The 17,236-nt window shown below is 44.6% G+C and overlaps 1 protein-coding gene across 1 annotated transcript in view, besides 4 other annotated features; it reads right to left on the bottom strand.

Moving 5' to 3' along the window:
- Nucleotides 1–5,437, bottom strand: part of DGKH (diacylglycerol kinase eta) — a 216,515-nt gene extending 211,078 nt beyond the window's left edge. Inside the window, exon 1 of the mRNA NM_001204504.3 lies at nt 5,381–5,437. The gene's annotated coding sequence lies outside the window, so the exon portion shown is untranslated. The remainder of the gene's footprint in view (nt 1–5,380) is intronic.
- Nucleotides 4,413–4,522: a silencer, noted in NCBI's record as "silent region_5296". NCBI's record gives its function as "represses an Ori minimal core promoter by ATAC-STARR-seq in GM12878 lymphoblastoid cells {active_cell/tissue: GM12878}" and the evidence as "EXISTENCE:reporter gene assay evidence [ECO:0000049][PMID:35858748]".
- Nucleotides 4,713–4,802: a silencer, noted in NCBI's record as "silent region_5295". NCBI's record gives its function as "represses an Ori minimal core promoter by ATAC-STARR-seq in GM12878 lymphoblastoid cells {active_cell/tissue: GM12878}" and the evidence as "EXISTENCE:reporter gene assay evidence [ECO:0000049][PMID:35858748]".
- Nucleotides 4,823–5,382: a silencer, noted in NCBI's record as "silent region_5294". NCBI's record gives its function as "represses an Ori minimal core promoter by ATAC-STARR-seq in GM12878 lymphoblastoid cells {active_cell/tissue: GM12878}" and the evidence as "EXISTENCE:reporter gene assay evidence [ECO:0000049][PMID:35858748]".
- Nucleotides 5,533–5,702: an enhancer, noted in NCBI's record as "active region_7637". NCBI's record gives its function as "activates an Ori minimal core promoter by ATAC-STARR-seq in GM12878 lymphoblastoid cells {active_cell/tissue: GM12878}" and the evidence as "EXISTENCE:reporter gene assay evidence [ECO:0000049][PMID:35858748]".

Raw genomic sequence — 17,236 nt, 5'->3', positions numbered from 1 at the left:
CATCCTCGTATCTGAGGCAAAAACCTTTCATCATCTAGACCTAATGCAAAGATGTTTATAACCTCTCATTTACATTTTGGCCCTATCCTTTGAAACTCTTTCCTTCCTAATTTTCCTTTCGACCTGGATAGTTTTATCAGCGCTAACTAGTATAAAACCATTTCAAAATAAAGCAAATTTTTTTTCTTTTTTTAGAGACAAAGTCTTGCTCTTTTGCCCAGGCTGGAGTGCAATGGCCAATCACAGCTCACTGCGTCCTTAAACTCTGGGCTCAAAGGCTCCTCTGGCATCAGCCTCCCAGGGTAGTCACAGGATACCTGGGACTACAGACATGCATCACCAGTCCTAGCTAGTTTTGTTGTGGTTGTTGTTATTTAGACATCATCTCCCCCTGGTCATCTTCCCCAGGATGGTCTCAAACTCCTGGCCTCAAGAGATCCTCCCACTTCGGCCTCCCAAAGTGTTGGGATTACAGGCATGAGCCACAGCACCAAAAGCAAATTTTAATAAGTGTACTCTAGCATCCCCCAACTAAGGACTACTTTGTAAATACTTCCACATTTTTGAAGTGTTGGCTAGAATTCTAACTACCTATTTTCCCCCCAGTAAGGCTTGTTTGGCTAAATATCTTTCTACCCATCCATGCCCACCACTAAAGTATTTTTTAATTGATTAGAAATTTAGTTTATGCCTCTATTTCCACTGAAATTTGATTGCATTTCAAAGCTAGCATTAAAGAAAATACACAGAAACTTAGAATGCTAAAATTTATCTTCTTTAGGCCCAATGACTTCCCCAGAATGCTAAGGCTGATCGTTTATTTAAATGGTTCGCTTAACTAACTTCAGTTCATCTCCCAATCGTGTCGTAAAGTTCAGCAACAGCTCAACATGGCTGCGTTTTAAGAAAGAAGTGCTGGGGCGGGCGCAGTGGCTCACTCCTGTAATCCCAAAACTTTGGGAGGCCAAGGCGAACGGATCACGAGGTCAGGAGATCGAGACCATCCTGGCTAACAAGGTGAAACCCCGTGTCTACTAAAAATACAAAGAATTAGCCAGGCATGGTGGCACGCGCCTGTAATCCCAGCTACTTGGGAGGCTGAGGCAGGAGAATCCAGGAGGCGGAGGTTGCAGTGAGCCAAGATGGCGCCACTGCACTCCAGCCTGGGCAACAGAGTGAGTCTGTCTCAAAAAAAAAAGAAGAAGAAAAAGAAAAAAAAGAAAGAAGTGCTGTTCTCTTTACTGTTTGTCAGCATCAATTCCTGATACTGTGTTTACTCTTCTGCCTGAATAGTTCCACGCAGAATCACACCATCATGTTTTAGGTTCCATCAAAAATGAATGAGGAGAGGCCAGGTGCAGTGGCTCATGCCAGTAATCCCAGCACGTTAGGAGGCTGAGGTGGGCAGATCGCTTGAGCCCAGGAGTTCAAGGCCAGTCTGGGCAACATATCTAGAACTATAGGTGCGCACCACCACGCCCATCTATACAAGAAAATGCCAAAATTAGCCCGGCATGGGGGCAAGCACCTATAGGTCCCAGCTACTCGGGAGGCTGAGGTAGGAGAATTGCTTGAGCCCAGGAGGCAAAGGTTGCAGTGAGCTGAGAATCAGGCCCCTGCACTCCAGCCTGGGTGACACAGTGAGACACTGCCTCAAACAATGAGGAGAGTAAATGGTTACATGCATGCTATTGTTATATGTACATGCCCTTATGTTATCCCATAAGGGATAATGCAACAGGATCTGTTCATTATTGAACAGAATGAATATTAAGCGTATTCAATATTGTTCAGTATTGAACATTCCTTTTCATAAATGTAAATGAGCATACTTTTATGGTAAAGCATTAAGTTGCCTATATTTGAATTTAAAAAGCAAATTTTACATAACTCTGACCTGTAATCCTAGCTCTTTGGGATGCCATGTCAGGAGGATCTCTTAAGGCCACAAGTTTGAGACCAGCCTGGGCAGATCCCACCTCTACAAAAAAAATCCAAAATGAGCCCAGCATGGTGGCATGTGCCTGTAGTCCTAGCTACTCAGGAGGCTGAGACGGGAGGATCCCTCCTGGCTGCAGTGAGCTACGATCATACCACTGCACTCCAGCCTGGGCAACACAGCAAGCCCCTGTCTCAAAAAAAACAAAACAAAAAAGTTTTTAAATTAAAAAAAAACTTTGAAATGGAGTCCAAGTCAAAGCAGGTATTCCTAACCTGAGGTCTTTGAGGATCCACAGATTGGTCTTAAAGAAATCTGTGGTACTCTTGAAATTGTATTAAAATGTTTTACATATATATATACACACACACATCAATACATATATAAAGCATATGTATGTAACATATATGTCACATAAGTGCATGTTTGAGGGAAAAAGGGTCCATAGCTTTGATCAGATTCTTAAAGGGATTGCTGACCCCAAAAAAGGTCACAAATCCCCAATTTTGATGGATTTTGTGTCCCTTCAAAACATATTTAATCTGTCTCTCCACCCCCTTTTCCCCTTGCTCCAAATGCCTGAAAGGTTTAACATTTAAACACTACTTTTTTCCCTAATGTATCCCACATTTATCTTTATATGCCACTTTTTAGTAATTTGGATAAATTGTCTTTTTTAAGAAGTTAAATGAAAATTCCCTTCATTAGTTCTTCGATGGACTTGGTGATATCTGTACGACCACAGGGTTTAGAATAAAGTCGCTTGTAAAAAGTATTATTTTATGCCACATAGCCATGATCTCTGAATGTATTTTTTGTGACTTTCTGATTGTAAACCATTAACATATACGAAACAAGACATTCTGTTTAGTTAAGAACGTTAGCTTTCTGAGGTCAAGGATCTGTTTCTCTGTTGTTGGTAACTGCTATCCAACAGTCCCGGAACATAATAGGTGCGGAATGAAAATAGGTGCAGAGCAAATGAAAAGGCCTTCAGTGTTTAAAGAAAATAAACCTAATTTTTAAAAGATGGCTCTGCAGTCTGAATAAAGTATTGTAGTCCATTCACACATTTATGTTAGGGCTCTAGTTTTAGAGGCTCCAGTGCTAAGACTGGAAACTGAATATTTTCTGTGGAAAATAAATGAGCATTTTACTTGTCACTTTTGAGAAGAAAAAAAAATTATCTAATTTTCTAAATGTTAAGTAGTTCCGACATCAGCAGCCTAAAGCAAAACACATACACCCGGATATTTCCATTGTGATTGGTGTTGGCTTAAAGTATGCAGGTTCCTACAGGAAAGTTTAAAAGTAAAGTCACTGAATTTAGTTCTCAATGATCTTTGATTTAAACTTCAAAACTGGATTGTATTTTTAATTTGGAGACTAGCTTAAGCCCCTGTGATAACCACAATGGAAGAAACAAGAGCAGATGGGCAACCTGACGACATGTTCAAATTCACGAAAGCAAAGACAGCTGCAGATGCAGAGGGATCAGAGTCGAAGGACGCTTCTGAAAGGTCAGGAATCAGGCCGAGAAACGTACTCTGGGCAAAGGAGGTACTCTGGGCAAAGGAGCTGAGAGCGTATATACTAGAAAAGAAAAAGGACAGCCAACCCTGGCACCTGACCTAGCGGCTCTCAACAGGCAGAGGGCCGGCCTGAGCAGACTCGGAGAGTCCCTGGGAAAACAGCATCCGAACACGTTGACCGGAACATGGGTGAGGCCAGAAATTTCGGACGGGGCTTTTCAGACTGGCTCACAATGTCAACCAAGAAGGAGTAGCAAATATCGAGGCAGGGCGTGGAGAGTCAAAATTCGACGCCAGGGAAAAGGCAGCCCACACAGGCTTCCAGAGCTCTGAGTGAGAGGGGGATTCCGGGGTGGAATCCCTGGAGGGATGTGAGACGGTTCTGTTTGAATCGGAAGAGAGAAGGAAGTTGAGGGAGTTTGAGGGAACAAATCCAAAGCCCCCTGGTCTCTTCCTCCTTATCCTCGCACACTTAAGACACGCACACACACTACTCTTGGTTCCTAAAATTACTCAACCTCCGCGTTGCGTGTGCAGCGAAATCCCAGGCGAAAGCGAAGTCAGCTTTCTGCTTCGTCCCCGGCAAAACCCGTTGCACCCTCCAGACGCCCAAGCTTTAGCGGCTGGCAGGAGTCGGAGGCGTGGTTCTGGGCTCCGCGCCGCGCTCAGCCTCTCCAGGCGCGTGTCCCCGGGAACCTGCGCGCCCAGGTGACGACCAGGGCGCGGTCTCGACAGGGAAAACCGGGCTCCTCAGACTCCCCACGCTGACCGCGCAGCCTGGCTTCTCCTCTCCCCCGCCTACATTCCACGGTCTCAAAGCAAGTGAAAAGTTGAGGAGTCGGTGAAGCCGGGAAACGGTCCTCGCAGGGCCGTCGCCAGCGGTTTGCCAGCGGTTCCTCGGGGAGAGCCTCGATCAGCCGGACAAAGGCGCTCCAGGCGGCGCGCGAGGAGGAGCCCGGGCGGCGGAGGAAGCGCTAACCCGGCTGGGAAGCAGCTGGGGACCTCATCCCGGGCCATTTCCTGAACGGAACCCGGCCCGGGCGGGGGGAGCAAAGGAGAAGCGGGAGGGGGTGGGCGCGGGCGCGGTACCCACCGGTTCCTCCCACGCTGGGCTGCGGGCGCCGGGCGCGGGGCGCACGTGCTGAGGCTCCATCGCGCCAGCCCGCGCCCGCCGGCCGCCCGGGCGCGCAGACCCGGGTCCCCGCCGCCGCCGCTGCGCCGGGGCTCCTGGATGCGCTTCCCTCGCCGCGGTCCCTCTCGGCCGCCGCCGCCGCCGCCCCGGCTCCCCGCCCGGGGCCAGCCACCGGCCCACCCGCCGTCTCCGGCTTCCGCCGCGCTCTCCCGCCCCCGCGCCGGTCCCTTCCTCCTCCGCCGCCTCCTCCTTCTCCACGGTCCCGCTCCCCTGCGCGGCTCCGAGCGGTCCGCTCCCCGCCACCGCCGCAGCCTCCCACGGGCGCAGAATCCGCCCCTCGCTCCTTCCTCCGCCCCCGGCGCCCTCCCCTTTTCCTCCCCGCTACCCGCCCCTCCCCCCCGCCGCCCCTCCTCCCGGCGGGTGGCCCGGGACACACGTGACCCCCCTGTCAGGCCTTATAAGGCGCGGAACCGAAAGCGGCCGCCGGGTGGTCACGGGCACCGGGCGGCCGCGCGGAAAGGAGCGGCCTCCCCCGGGGCCGGGCGCGCGGAGAGCGGCGAGGAAAGCCCGGGCTGGGCTGGGCTAGGCTGGCCACCGCGCTGGCGACGGGAGCAGACGCGGGTCCCGGGAGACGCCTCCCAGCGCCCCTGTCTCTCGCTCTCGCCGTCTCCCGGTGCAGCCCGCACCCGCCTCCCTCCAAACGCTGGCGGCCCGCGCTGCAGGCGCCTCCCCTCCTGGGGGTGCTGAGGCTTGAGCGAAATCCCACTGGACAGTAACCGGCTTCAGCGGAGCGAAAACTCAGCCGCACTCCAGCTACGCTCCAGGGCAAGCTGCGCCGGGCACCGTTTCTTCCTTGTGACGTTCAAAAGAATGCAGATGGGTTACCAACTACAGGAGAGGTTAAACTTGAGGGCGTGCTTTTTAAATTCATTATCAACGTTTTCATGGAAAGAACCGGCTAAGGAGTCGATCTGTCTTCCAGTTTTATCCCTAGACTCAAATTAGGACATGGGCTGGCTCTCAGTGAGCACTCAGTAAACAGCAAGTCTCCTCCTGCCCTTTGAAAAAGCGTTTCGGATCATCTTGGCATTGTAAGCGATTTTCATCTAGTTCCAGTCCAAGTGTGACTGGCTTTACACAGGTTACTCCCCCTCCTGGACTTTCAGGTTCGTTCTTTCAGCATCTTTTCAGGGCCCTCAATCATGCCATCATGTCAAATGCATTCACAAATTTTAAAAACAAATCGTCAAGTCAAAAACACATAATTGATCTAGCCCGTCCCCAGCCCTCTAATTCTTCAGGATCCTGCAAACCGACTTCTGTGCCGGCTGTTCCACGGGGACTGCACTGACGAAAGTCACTTCGTGGTTTTGAAAATCCCCTAAACCATTGTATATTTTCCAATGCCCGTCTTACTTGACCTATTTGCAGCGTTTGCACTGTTGATCAGATATTTATTTATTTTCAGACAGGATCTCGCTCTGTCGCCCAAGCTGGAGTGCAGTGGCGCGATCATGGCTCCCTGTATCCTCGACCTCCTGGGCTAAAGCGATCCTCTCGCCTCAGCCTCTCCAGCACTGGGACTACAGGCGGGCGCCACAAAGCTCAACTAATTGTTTTATTGTTAGTAGAGACGAGGGGGGACTCACTACGTTACCCAAGCTGGCCTCAAGCGATCCTTTGGTCTGGGCCTCCCAAAACGCTGGGATTACAGGAGTGAGCCAATGCGCCTGGCCCCGATTTTTATTCTTGAAACCATCCCTTCCATTGGCTCTGTGACACCTCGGTCTCCGTGTTTCCTAACCTTTTCTTGCTCAGCCACCTCTTGCATGTTGGAGCATCTAAATGGTCTTGCCCTTAGTCTGTCTCTAATGCTGCCTAGGCACATGGCTTCAATTACCAACCATGTGCTGATAACTCATAAATTTCCATTTCTGTCCCACATCTCCAGTTCTATAAAACGAACTTTTTACCAGAAATCTCTACCCAGATGTCCCATCGGCCTTAAACTCAACTTGACTAAAACAGAACTCAACTTTCCTGCCAGCTGGCTTTTCTCTCTAGTCTCATTCTCAGTAAATGTCACCACAATCCACTTAGTCACCCAAAGGAGAAATCTGGAAATTATCCCAGGCTTTTCCTTCTCTCATCTGCTGTCTGCCCATCCATGCACCTATCATTTCTGTCTATCACCTTCCCTCCATTCCACTGCTTTTTGCCTAGTTTCAGGTCTCTTGTTTCAAGACCCTGAAACACTATATTACTCTCCTTATTAGTCTCACTGCCTCTAAGTTTGTTGCACCTCCACCCTTGCCATCTCACGTTGTGACCGAAGTAAGCCTTCTAAAATACAAATTTTTGACCAAGTCATTCCCCACATCAGCCCTGCCAATGGCTCCCCATAGCCTGCAGGGTAAAGTCCCGATATCTTAGCCAGGGCCTAAGTCTCCACTCTCTTTAAACAGTGAGTTTCTTGCACCACCATTCCCTGTTGGGCCACTTACTTTTATGCTGTGCCCTCACATGGAGTGTCCTTTCTCTTACACAGCCTAAGTTTACCTGCTCTTTCAAGATTCACCCTAAGAGTCACATTCCTTATGAAATCATTTCTGACCCTGCTGCAGGTTAGAACTGATTTCACTGAGCTTTCTCTACACTAAATGCCTCTCTCCCCCAATTATAATGCTTTAGAAGACTTTATTAAACTCAGTTTTTATTTATAGTCTTCCTGATGGCAAGTATTATGACAGACTTACTTTCGTCTTCTTAGTTCCCAGTACAGTTCCTGACATTAGTAGGTGCTCAGTGTTTGTGGAATGAATTAATTATGTGATGTACCTTGAGTTATTATATTTTTGTGGCTTATAGAAAATCGTTTTCCCATGCGTTATCTCATTTCACTCTTGACAGTTCTGCAAAAGATATATCATTATCACCTTTTATAGAAATGGAAACTGAAGCTACAAAGGAATAAAGCAATCTGCCCAAGGTTCTACTGTATATACTTCAGAGCCAGGACTTGAACTCAGTTTGCCCAGTTCAGTTCATTATATGTTTGCCTGTTTCTATGGTCTGAATGTTTATGTCTCCCCAAAATTCATATGTTGAAATCCTCATTCCCAGGGTGATGGTATTAGGAAGTAGGAATTTTGGAAGACTATTTGGTCATGAGGGTTGAGCCCTCATAAATGGGATTAGTGCCCTTATAAAAGAGGTCCAGAAAGAGACTTCTGACTCCTTCTGCCATGTGAGGTTAAAGTGAGCAGATGGCTAACTATGAGGAAACGGGCCCTCGCCAGACAACACATCTGCATCTTGCACTTCCCAGCCTCCAGAGCTGTAAGAAATACATTTCTGTTATTAGCCACCCAGGCTATGGTATGTTGTTAGAGCAGCCGAAACAGACTATGACAGCTATCCATTATTTTTCCCCTTAAATTCTGTTTAGTATGATTCTATTTTGTAGATTTTTGTTAGTGGTTGCCAAGAATCTCTCCATCTTTTTATTTTAAACCAGTCTGAGTCATTATGTTTTAAGTGTGTCTTGTAAATAACACTTGAATTTTTATATTATTGACCCGTTCTGAGAGTCTGCCTTTTAGTAGTCTATTTTCATCTGTTTTCATTTATCATGTCTATTAATTAGAATAAAAAGTTGTCATAAGAAAGATCCTTCCCCCTGCCTCACCAGACACACAGTGTTGCTTTCTCTCATGGAACAGTGCCAGGATTAGTGGTCAGTTTGTTGGGGGTGGCTTCTTTGTTCCACATTGCCGTTCCAATTTCTAGAGCATTGCCCTTATCTACAGGGTGAAAGCTGATTAGGGAGACCCTGTTTAAGGAAGGAAGAAGAGAGCATAAAGGAGCACAAACCCAACTGCTTAAGGCCCAGACCCAGAAGTGAGTGGTGACCCACTTCTCACCTGCTCATATCCCAATGGCCAGAACTTAGTTTCATGACCGTAGCTAGCAGCAAAGGAGCAGGAAAATGAGGTCACTAGCTGGACAGCTGTATCCCAACCGCAATTCTATTACTACCGAAGACTTAACAGATTTTGCTGAAAACTAGCACTCTCTGTTAAATTATGATGACTATCTTTGGATTTATTACCACATTCTCATTTTGTATTTATTTCACTTTCTTTTTCTTTGCTTCTTTTTTCTCCTTTCTTGCCTGCTGTTTTATTAATTGAATTGATTGAATTTTCTTTAGTTTACTCACTTTTCTAAACACTTCTACTGATTTAAAATGTATACCTCCTGTTTCAATTCTTAGTGATTACCCTTAAAATGTTAACATTTATACTTAATATCAAAGGTTAGTTAATATCTCCCCCTTCTTTTCAAGATCTTAAACAAAAGAAAACATTTTAACTCTCAAATTCCCCTCCTATAAACTATGTATTACTGTCTAGTATTTTTAAATTCCCTCTTATTTTAAATTCTCTACTGATTAGTCATCATTGTTACTGCTTTTATAGTTATTATCTAATTCAATTTACCAACATATTTTACCAATGTTTTCTCTTATTGCTTGTTTTTTTATCTCATGCTTTCCTTTTGGGCTTAATTTCTGTCTTGAGGAAGCACATTCTTTAGGAGTTCTTTCACCAAAGGTCTGTGGGTAAAATTTTCTACAACTTTGTATATCACTCTCACTCCATTTCCCTTATGCTTTTGAGTAATAATTTTATCAGCTAGGGAATTCTAAATTGACATCATTGACACTAACATTTCAAAGTGACTATTCCATTATCTTTTGTCATCTGCTGCTGTTGATTAGAAGTCTGCAGTCAGTCTCATTATCACTTACAGATTTTTTTTTCTCTCTAGTTAACATTTTCTTTTATCACTTGATATTTGCATTATTGCACTGTTTCAAGGTGGGTTTTGTTTTTGTATATCTTGTTCAGGACTTGGTGTGCATTTTAACCTGAAGACCCCAAAATCCTTCAATTCTGGAAATTTTTCAGCCCTTATGTATTCAAATATTACTTACCCCACCCCCTACTCCATGCATTTTCCTCTGTTTTATCCTTCTAGAGCTCCTATTAGCTATGGGCTGGAGTTTCTCATTTTATCCTCCATGTCTTAATTTTTCTTTAGAATTTTCCATCTTTTTACTTCTCTTTGCTAGTCTTGGGTAATTTCCTCAAATTTATTATCTGATTCCCTAATTCTCTTTGCAATTATATTCAGTCTATAATATGTCCATTAACTTTTTATTTACATTTCTAGAATGTTCATTATTTTTCAAATTTACATTCTTTTTTCATAATATCTAACTTTCTCTTAGAGTCTAGTCTTTCTTTGTCTTTTTAAACATTTTAAACACATTTATTTAGAAGTGGGTTTCAAGTTGATCTATTATCTAGAGTTGCTGGTGTGTAAATTCTCGCATTTGTTGCCTTTGCTGACTCATATTTGCAGTGGCTTGTTTCCTTGCAAGCTTTATGTTTTCTGTGAGCTTCTCTTCAGTAGGACTTGTTCTCCGTGGAAGTAATGCATGCCTTATGGAGCCACCTATCTAGAGGGGTCTTACTTTTGACTCTGCCAGGAATCTATAGGTTTACTTGGCTCACTCATATTCTGGCAGCTGATGCTGGAAGACTCAAAACAGCTGAGGGCTATCATAACTGGGAATCCTTGGGTATTTCTCCCTATCTCCAAGAGCCCTCCCCACAACTCCTCACAGCATCATAGCTTTGAAGTAGCTGAACTGACTTCTTACATGTAGGATCAGGATTCCTATGGTGTATGTCAAGAGTGAGAGCTAGGTGAAAGCTCTATCCTTTTTATAAAGTCACCTCAGAAGTCACATAGCATCACTTCCACCAAATGAATTGGTTGGAACTGTAAAAAAAAAAAAAAAAAAAAAAAAAAAGAAAAAAGAGAAGAAAAAGACCTTGTCCAGATTGAAGAGTATAGAATATAGACCCTCACCTATTAGGGGGAGAAGTCAGGAACATTGTAAGAAGTACACGTGGAATGAGCTATGTATGCTTGTGGTGTCATCTTTGGAATAATCCAATACAGCATTGGTGTATCTCAGTAGGTTTTGGTGTTCATGCTCCTGGGGACTCAGAGGTCCATTATCAGCACAGCCTGCAAGCATAGAAGGATATTCCTTCCCTCTGACACAACACCTGGAGACCATGGATTCTCTTCAATGGGGAATGTAACCTACTAAAATACAGGCATAGAGTCCTCACACTGGAAAAGCAAAGCGCTGCAGCATTCCACTGCCCACCCAGCCAGAGCTTTTATGGAGCATACATTGGAGTCTAACAAACCTTCTCATAGAAATAATCTGATAAAGACTTTCTCATTGAGGATTACACTTGAAGCAGGTTCATAAGCAGATGGCATCGTAGTAATAATGAACCTGAAGCAAGAGATGGAAATTTCAGCCCCCATTTTACTTTATGAAAGTAATCTGAAACACACAAAAAGAGGATTCATAACAAACCAAACTATTCTCTAGTCTCATTGGCTAGATTATCCCTGCTGTCTTTAGTGAGAATGGCCTTCATGGTTCTTCATGTAGCCAAGTGTGCAGTGATATTCTCGATTTCTTATAGACCACAACTCAGGTGTGCAAATTCTACAGATGATCTTATCTTTCTCTCCTGCCCTCATCCCATACAATATAAAGAGACAAAAAAAACTTAAAAATTATTTAAAATATATTGGCCACCTGGGCAGTGGCTCACACCTGTAATCCCAGCACTTTGGGAGGCCAAGGTGAGAGGATTGCTTGAGGCCAGGAGTTCACCAGTCTGGGCAGTGTAGCGAAACCTCCTCTCTACTAAAAATGTTTAAAAATTAGTGAAGCTTGGTGGCAGGTGGCTTCAGTCCCAGCTACTTGGGAGGCTGAGGCAGGAGGATCACTTAAGCCCAGCAGGTTGAAGCTGCAGTGAGCCCTGATGGCGCCACTACACTGCAGCCTGGAAAAGTGGTTAGTGATTAGTGATGGACAGTAGGATTCCGTAATCCTCATGTGTTTTTTCCTTTCTTGTTTTTGTTTGACATGTGGTAGGATTTTTTATATTCTTTGTTTTCCCACAATAAGCATTCTTTGCTTATGAGAGAAGAAAATTATTAATAATTGCTCATAATTAGGTTAACAAAAAAATCAATGTAGAACACAATTATGAAAATATAAATCCCTAAATACAGAAAAAATGTATTTGGGGCCTGAGAATGAGGTAGCAATGGAGCAGAGGAGAAGGCAAAATAACAGGGGCATAGGGTTCTGTCCGCTAGGGCAGCGGTCCCCAATCTTTTTGGCACCAGGGACCAGTTTCATGGAAGACAGTTTTTCCACAAGTTTTCCACGGACAATGGGGTGGGGGATGGTTTTGGGATGAAACTCTTCTATCTCAGATCATCAAGCCTTAGGTTCTCATAAGGAGTATGCAACTAGATCCCTCACGTGCACAGTTCACAATAGGGTTTGCGCTCCTATGAGAATCTAATGCTGCGGCTGATCTGACAGGAGGCGGAGCTCAGGTGGTAATGCTCGCACAGGCACCTCTCCAACACCTCCTGCTGTGCAGCTCAGTTTCTTTTTTTTTTTTTTAATTGTACTTTAAGTTTTAGGGTTCATGTACACAATGTGCAGGTTAGTTACATATGTATACATGTGCCATGCTGGTGTGCTGCACCCATTAACTCGTCATTTAGCATTAGGTATATCTCCTAATGTTATCCCTCCCCCCTCCCCCCACCCCACAACAGTCCCCAGAGTGTGATGTTCCCCTTCCTGTGTCCATGTGTGCTCATTGTTCAATTCCCGCCTATGAGTGAGAACATGTGGTGTTTGGTTTTTTGTTCTTGCGAGAGTTTACTGAGAATGATGATTTCCAATTTCATCCATGTCCCTACAAAGGACATGAACTCATCATTTTTTATGGCTGCATAGTATTCCATGGTGTATATGTGCCACATTTTCTTAATCCAGTCTATCATTGTTGGACATTTGGGTTGGTTCCAAGTCTTTGCTATTGTGAATAATGCCGCAATAAACATTCGTGTGCATGTGTCTTTATAGCAGCATGATTTATAGTCTTTGGGTATATACCCAGTAATGGGATGGCTGGGTCAAATGGTATTTCTAGTTCTAGATCCCTGAGGAATCGCCACACTGACTTCCACAATGGTTGAACTAGTTTACAGTCCCACCAACAGTGTAAAAGTGTTCCTATTTCTCCACATCCTCTCCAGCACCTGTTGTTTCCTGACTTTTTAATGATCGCCATTCTAACTGGTGTGAGATGGTATCTCATTGTGGTTTTGATTTGCATTTCTCTGATGGCCAGTGATGGTGAGCATTTTTTCATGTGTTTTTTGGCTGCATAAATGTTTTCTTTTGAGAAGTGTCTGTTCATGTCCTTTGCCCACTTTTTGATGGGGCTGTTTGTTTTTTTCTTGTAAATTTGTTTGAGTTCATTGTAGATTCTGGATATTAGCCCTTTGTCAGATGAGTAGGTTGTGAAAATTTTCTCCCATTCTGTATGTTGCCTGTTCACTCTGATGGTAGTTTCTTTTGCTGTGCAGAAGCTCTTTAGTTTAATTAGATCCCATTTGTCAATTTTGGCTTTTGTTGCCATTGCTTTTGGTGTTTTAGACATGAAGTCCTTGCCCATGCCTATGTCCTGAATGGTAATGCCTAGGTTTTCTTCTAGGGTTTTTCTCATTTTAGGTCTAACGTTTAAGTCTTTAATCTATCTTGAATTAATTTTTGTATAAGGTAGTAAGGAAGGGATCCAGTTTCAGCTTTCTACATATGGCTAGCCAGTTTTCCCAGCACCATTTATTAAATAGGGAATCCTTTCCCCATTGCTTGTTTTTCTCAGGTTTGTCAAAGATCAGATAGTTGTAGATATGCGGCATTATTTCTGAGGGCTCTGTTCTATTCCATTGATCTATATCTCTGTTTTGGTACCAGTACCATGCTGTTTTGGTTACTGTAGCCTTGTAGTATAGTTTGAAGTCAGGTAGCATGATGCTTCCAGCTTTGTTCTTTTGGCTTAGGATTGACTTGGCGATGTGGGCTCTTTTTTGGTTCCTTATGAACTTTAAAGTAGTTTTTTCCAATTCTGTGAAGAAAGTCATTGGTAGCTTGATGGGGATGGCATTGAATCTATAAATTACCTTGGGCAGTATGGCCATTTTCATGATATTGATTCTTCCTACCCATGAGCATGGAATGTTCTTCCATTTCTTTGTATCCTCTTTTATTTCATTGAGCAGTGGTTTGTAGTCCTCCTTGAAGAGGTCCTTCATGTCCCTTGTAAGTTGAATTCCTAGGTATTTTGTTCTCTTTGAAGCAATTGTGAATGGGAGTTCACTCATGATTTGGCCCTCTGTTTGTCTGTTATTGGTGTATAAGAATGCTTGTGATTTTTGCACATTGATTTTGTATCCTGAGACTTTGCTGAAGTTGCTTATCAGCTTAAGGAGATTTTGGGCTGAGACAATGGGGTTTTCTAGATATACAATCATGTCACCTGCACACAGGGACAATTTGACTTCCTCTTTTCCTAATTGAATACCCTTTATTTCCTTCTCCTGCCTGATTGCCCTGGCCAGAACTTCCAACACTATGTTGAATAGGAGTGGTGAGAGAGGGCATCCCTGTCTTGTGCCAGTTTTCAAAGGGAATGCTTCCAGTTTTTGCCCAATCAGTATGATATTGGCCGTTGGTTTGTCATAGACAGCTCTTATTATTTTGAGATACGTCCCATCAATACCTAATTTATTGAGAGTTTTTAGCATGAAGGGTTGTTGAATTTTGTCAAAGGCCTTTTCTGCATCTATTGAGATAATCATGTGGTTTTTGTCTTTGGTTCTGTTTATATGCTGGATTACATTTATTGATTTGCGTATATTGAACCAGCCTTGCATCCCAGGGATGAAGCCCACTTGATCATGGTGGATAAGCTTTTTGATGTGCTGCTGGATTTGGTTTGCCAGTATTTTATTGAGGATTTTTGCATCAACGTGCAACTCAGTTTCTAATAGGTCATAGACCAGTACCCGTCAGTAACCGGGGGGTGGGGGACCTCTGTTCTAGGCTGGGCAAGGGTGCAAAATTAGATCTAGGATTAAGATACAATGTGACAGGTTTAGTTGTGATTCAAACAACAGCAAAATGTTGGGTTACTGCAGGGGGTTACAGCCAGGCACAACTGGCTCACGCCTGTAATCCCAGCACTTTGGGAGACTGAGGCAGGTGGCTCACCCAAGGTCGGGAGTTCGAGACCAGCCTGGGCAACATGGTGAAACCCCATCTCTACTAAAAATACAAAAATTAGCTGGGTGTGATGGTGGGCACCTGTAATCCCAGCTACTCAGGAGGCTGAGGCAGAAGAATCGCTTGACCCTAGGAGGTGGAGGCTGCAGTGAGCCGAGATAGTGCCACTGCACTCCAGTCTAGGCAACAGAGCAAGACTGTATCTAAAAAAAAATGGGGTTCCCACCAAGCAAGCAGAGTAAAGGATGAGGAATGTAGCTCTCGTGATCCCTGAGAATACATTCAGCAGACTTCATCTGGGCAGTGGCAAGGCCCCAGCTGCTTTAAAGGACTGAGTTCTAGATTGTAGTAAGGGGGCTGTCAAGAACTGAATAGCATGAATCAAGCCCAGGTGAAGTGCTGAGAACTGGGGCAAGGGGGATGAAGGAAGTGCCAAGGCAGGTGGCTCAGGACCAAGCTGAGTGCCCATCGGCAGAAAAGGAATCGGGAGTCAAGGAGGCTGGAGAGCACAGTGGGAGCAGTGGCCAATTGTTGGCCTTCGACACCAGGGGCAGGGAACTTCAGCAAAACCAGGCCAGGTTAAGGGACTAACCTGAAGCAAGAAATGCAGCAATGTTTATGCAGTGGTTTTCTCAAAGAGGGTTAGGGACACTTTTCTTTTGGAAAACTATGCAAGGAAGGAATCATGGCAAGAAGAGTGAGGGTTGGCACTTTGTCACCAAGGTACACTAGCTACACTAGCGCTTAGTGAAAAGAGCATGGAATTTGCTGTTAAAGAGAACAGTGCTGGAACGCCTGCTCTTCTGTTTATCAACCTCAGGATTTTAGGCAAGTTGTTTCTCCCATTTTATTTTATTTTATTTTATTTTTATTTTTTGAGACAGAGTCTCACTCTGTCACCCAGGCTGGAGTGCAGTGGCGTGATCTCAGCTCACTGCAATCTCCGCCTCCTGGGTTCAAGTGATTCTCCTGCCTCAGCCTCCCAAGTAGCTGGGACAACAGGCACGCACCACCACACCCAGCTAATTTTTGTATTTTTAGTAGAGATGGGGTTTCACCATCTCTACTAAATCCCTAAATACAGAAACTCTTGGTCTCAAACTTTTGACCTCAGGTGATCCACCCACCTTGGCCTCCGAAAGTGCTGGGATTACATGAATCAGCCACCCCACCCAGCTGTTTCTCCCATTTTAAAACAAGCATTATAATACCAATTTCTTAGTACCCTTGGAGGGCGAAATGAAAGACTGTACTAAAAATGTCTGGCATGATATGAGTTCTTTACATGCATAAAAACCCCAGCTGAAAAGGAAAAGAAATAGGAGGATTATTACTTTTATGTCACCAAATTACTTGGGGAGCATTGCCTCTCATTATTAATGCAGGAAGTCATATACTTTTAGTGGCTACTAGAATTAGAAACCCATAGGTTTTAAAAACTTTTGCACATAACAGGTTTTTAAAGCTCTCTTTTAAATGAGTGACACTTTAGTTTTAATCATCAGAACAACCATATGAGGAGATTATCATTATCCCCATTTTATAGATGAGGAGACCAAGGTTCAGGAATTAAACAATTTGTCCAAGGTCAGAGCACTGTTAGGAAATGGAGCTAAGATGTGGAGTTCTAAGCGCACAGAAGTCCCCTCACAGTTTAATTTTTTTACCAATAAAAAGGGGTAGAAGACGAATCAGGAAATCACGGTGCAAAGGGAGGAGTGGGAAGGAGAATGGACTACACTTCAGGAACTCAGGTGGTGAAGTTGTGGAGGGAGGTTATTATTGTCTTGCAATAGAGGGAAACAAACATGTGTTAAGACAAGTGTAAAGGAGCTAGTAGGGGAATAGAAAGACATTCCAAAGAGAGAGGACTAATCAGTGGGGAAAGGTCTGGTGTGCAGGTTGAGGAATAAGACTTGGAGAACTCTGTCTTTTCAGAGCCAAGAATAAAGGACACAAGGAAGAGAAACGCACTGCAAATGTTAACTGTTGTTATGACCTGGACTGGAATCCAGTGCTAAAGTGTGTTTTCTTTCCCGTTGCCCCAGGATACAGCAGCTGCCCTCAGTACAAAGGTCTTAAACAGGCTGGGTCCAGTCTGTCCCTCCCTTTTACCAGCCTCTTGCATACATGACACCTCTTTCCTAGACACTCTCCTTCATTTGATTTCTTTTGACCCTGCTTCCTGCACCTTCTCACCCACCGGGGACCCAGCTAATCATCCTGAGGTGCCCCTTTCTCTCCTCCATCTCTCTGCCTTTTTAGCCCAGAAGGAGCCTGGAAGGCCACAGGCAGATGATGGGCTAGGACTTCAGGAGCTTGGCCTGACCTGGCTGGTGTTACCTCCTGTGTCATGCCTGTGCCACAAATGGGTT

The sequence above is a fragment of the Homo sapiens genome, chromosome 13 (genome assembly GCF_000001405.40).
Source record: "Homo sapiens chromosome 13, GRCh38.p14 Primary Assembly".
NCBI lineage: Eukaryota > Metazoa > Chordata > Mammalia > Primates > Hominidae > Homo > Homo sapiens.
This window is presented reverse-complemented; position numbering and strand designations above follow the sequence as displayed.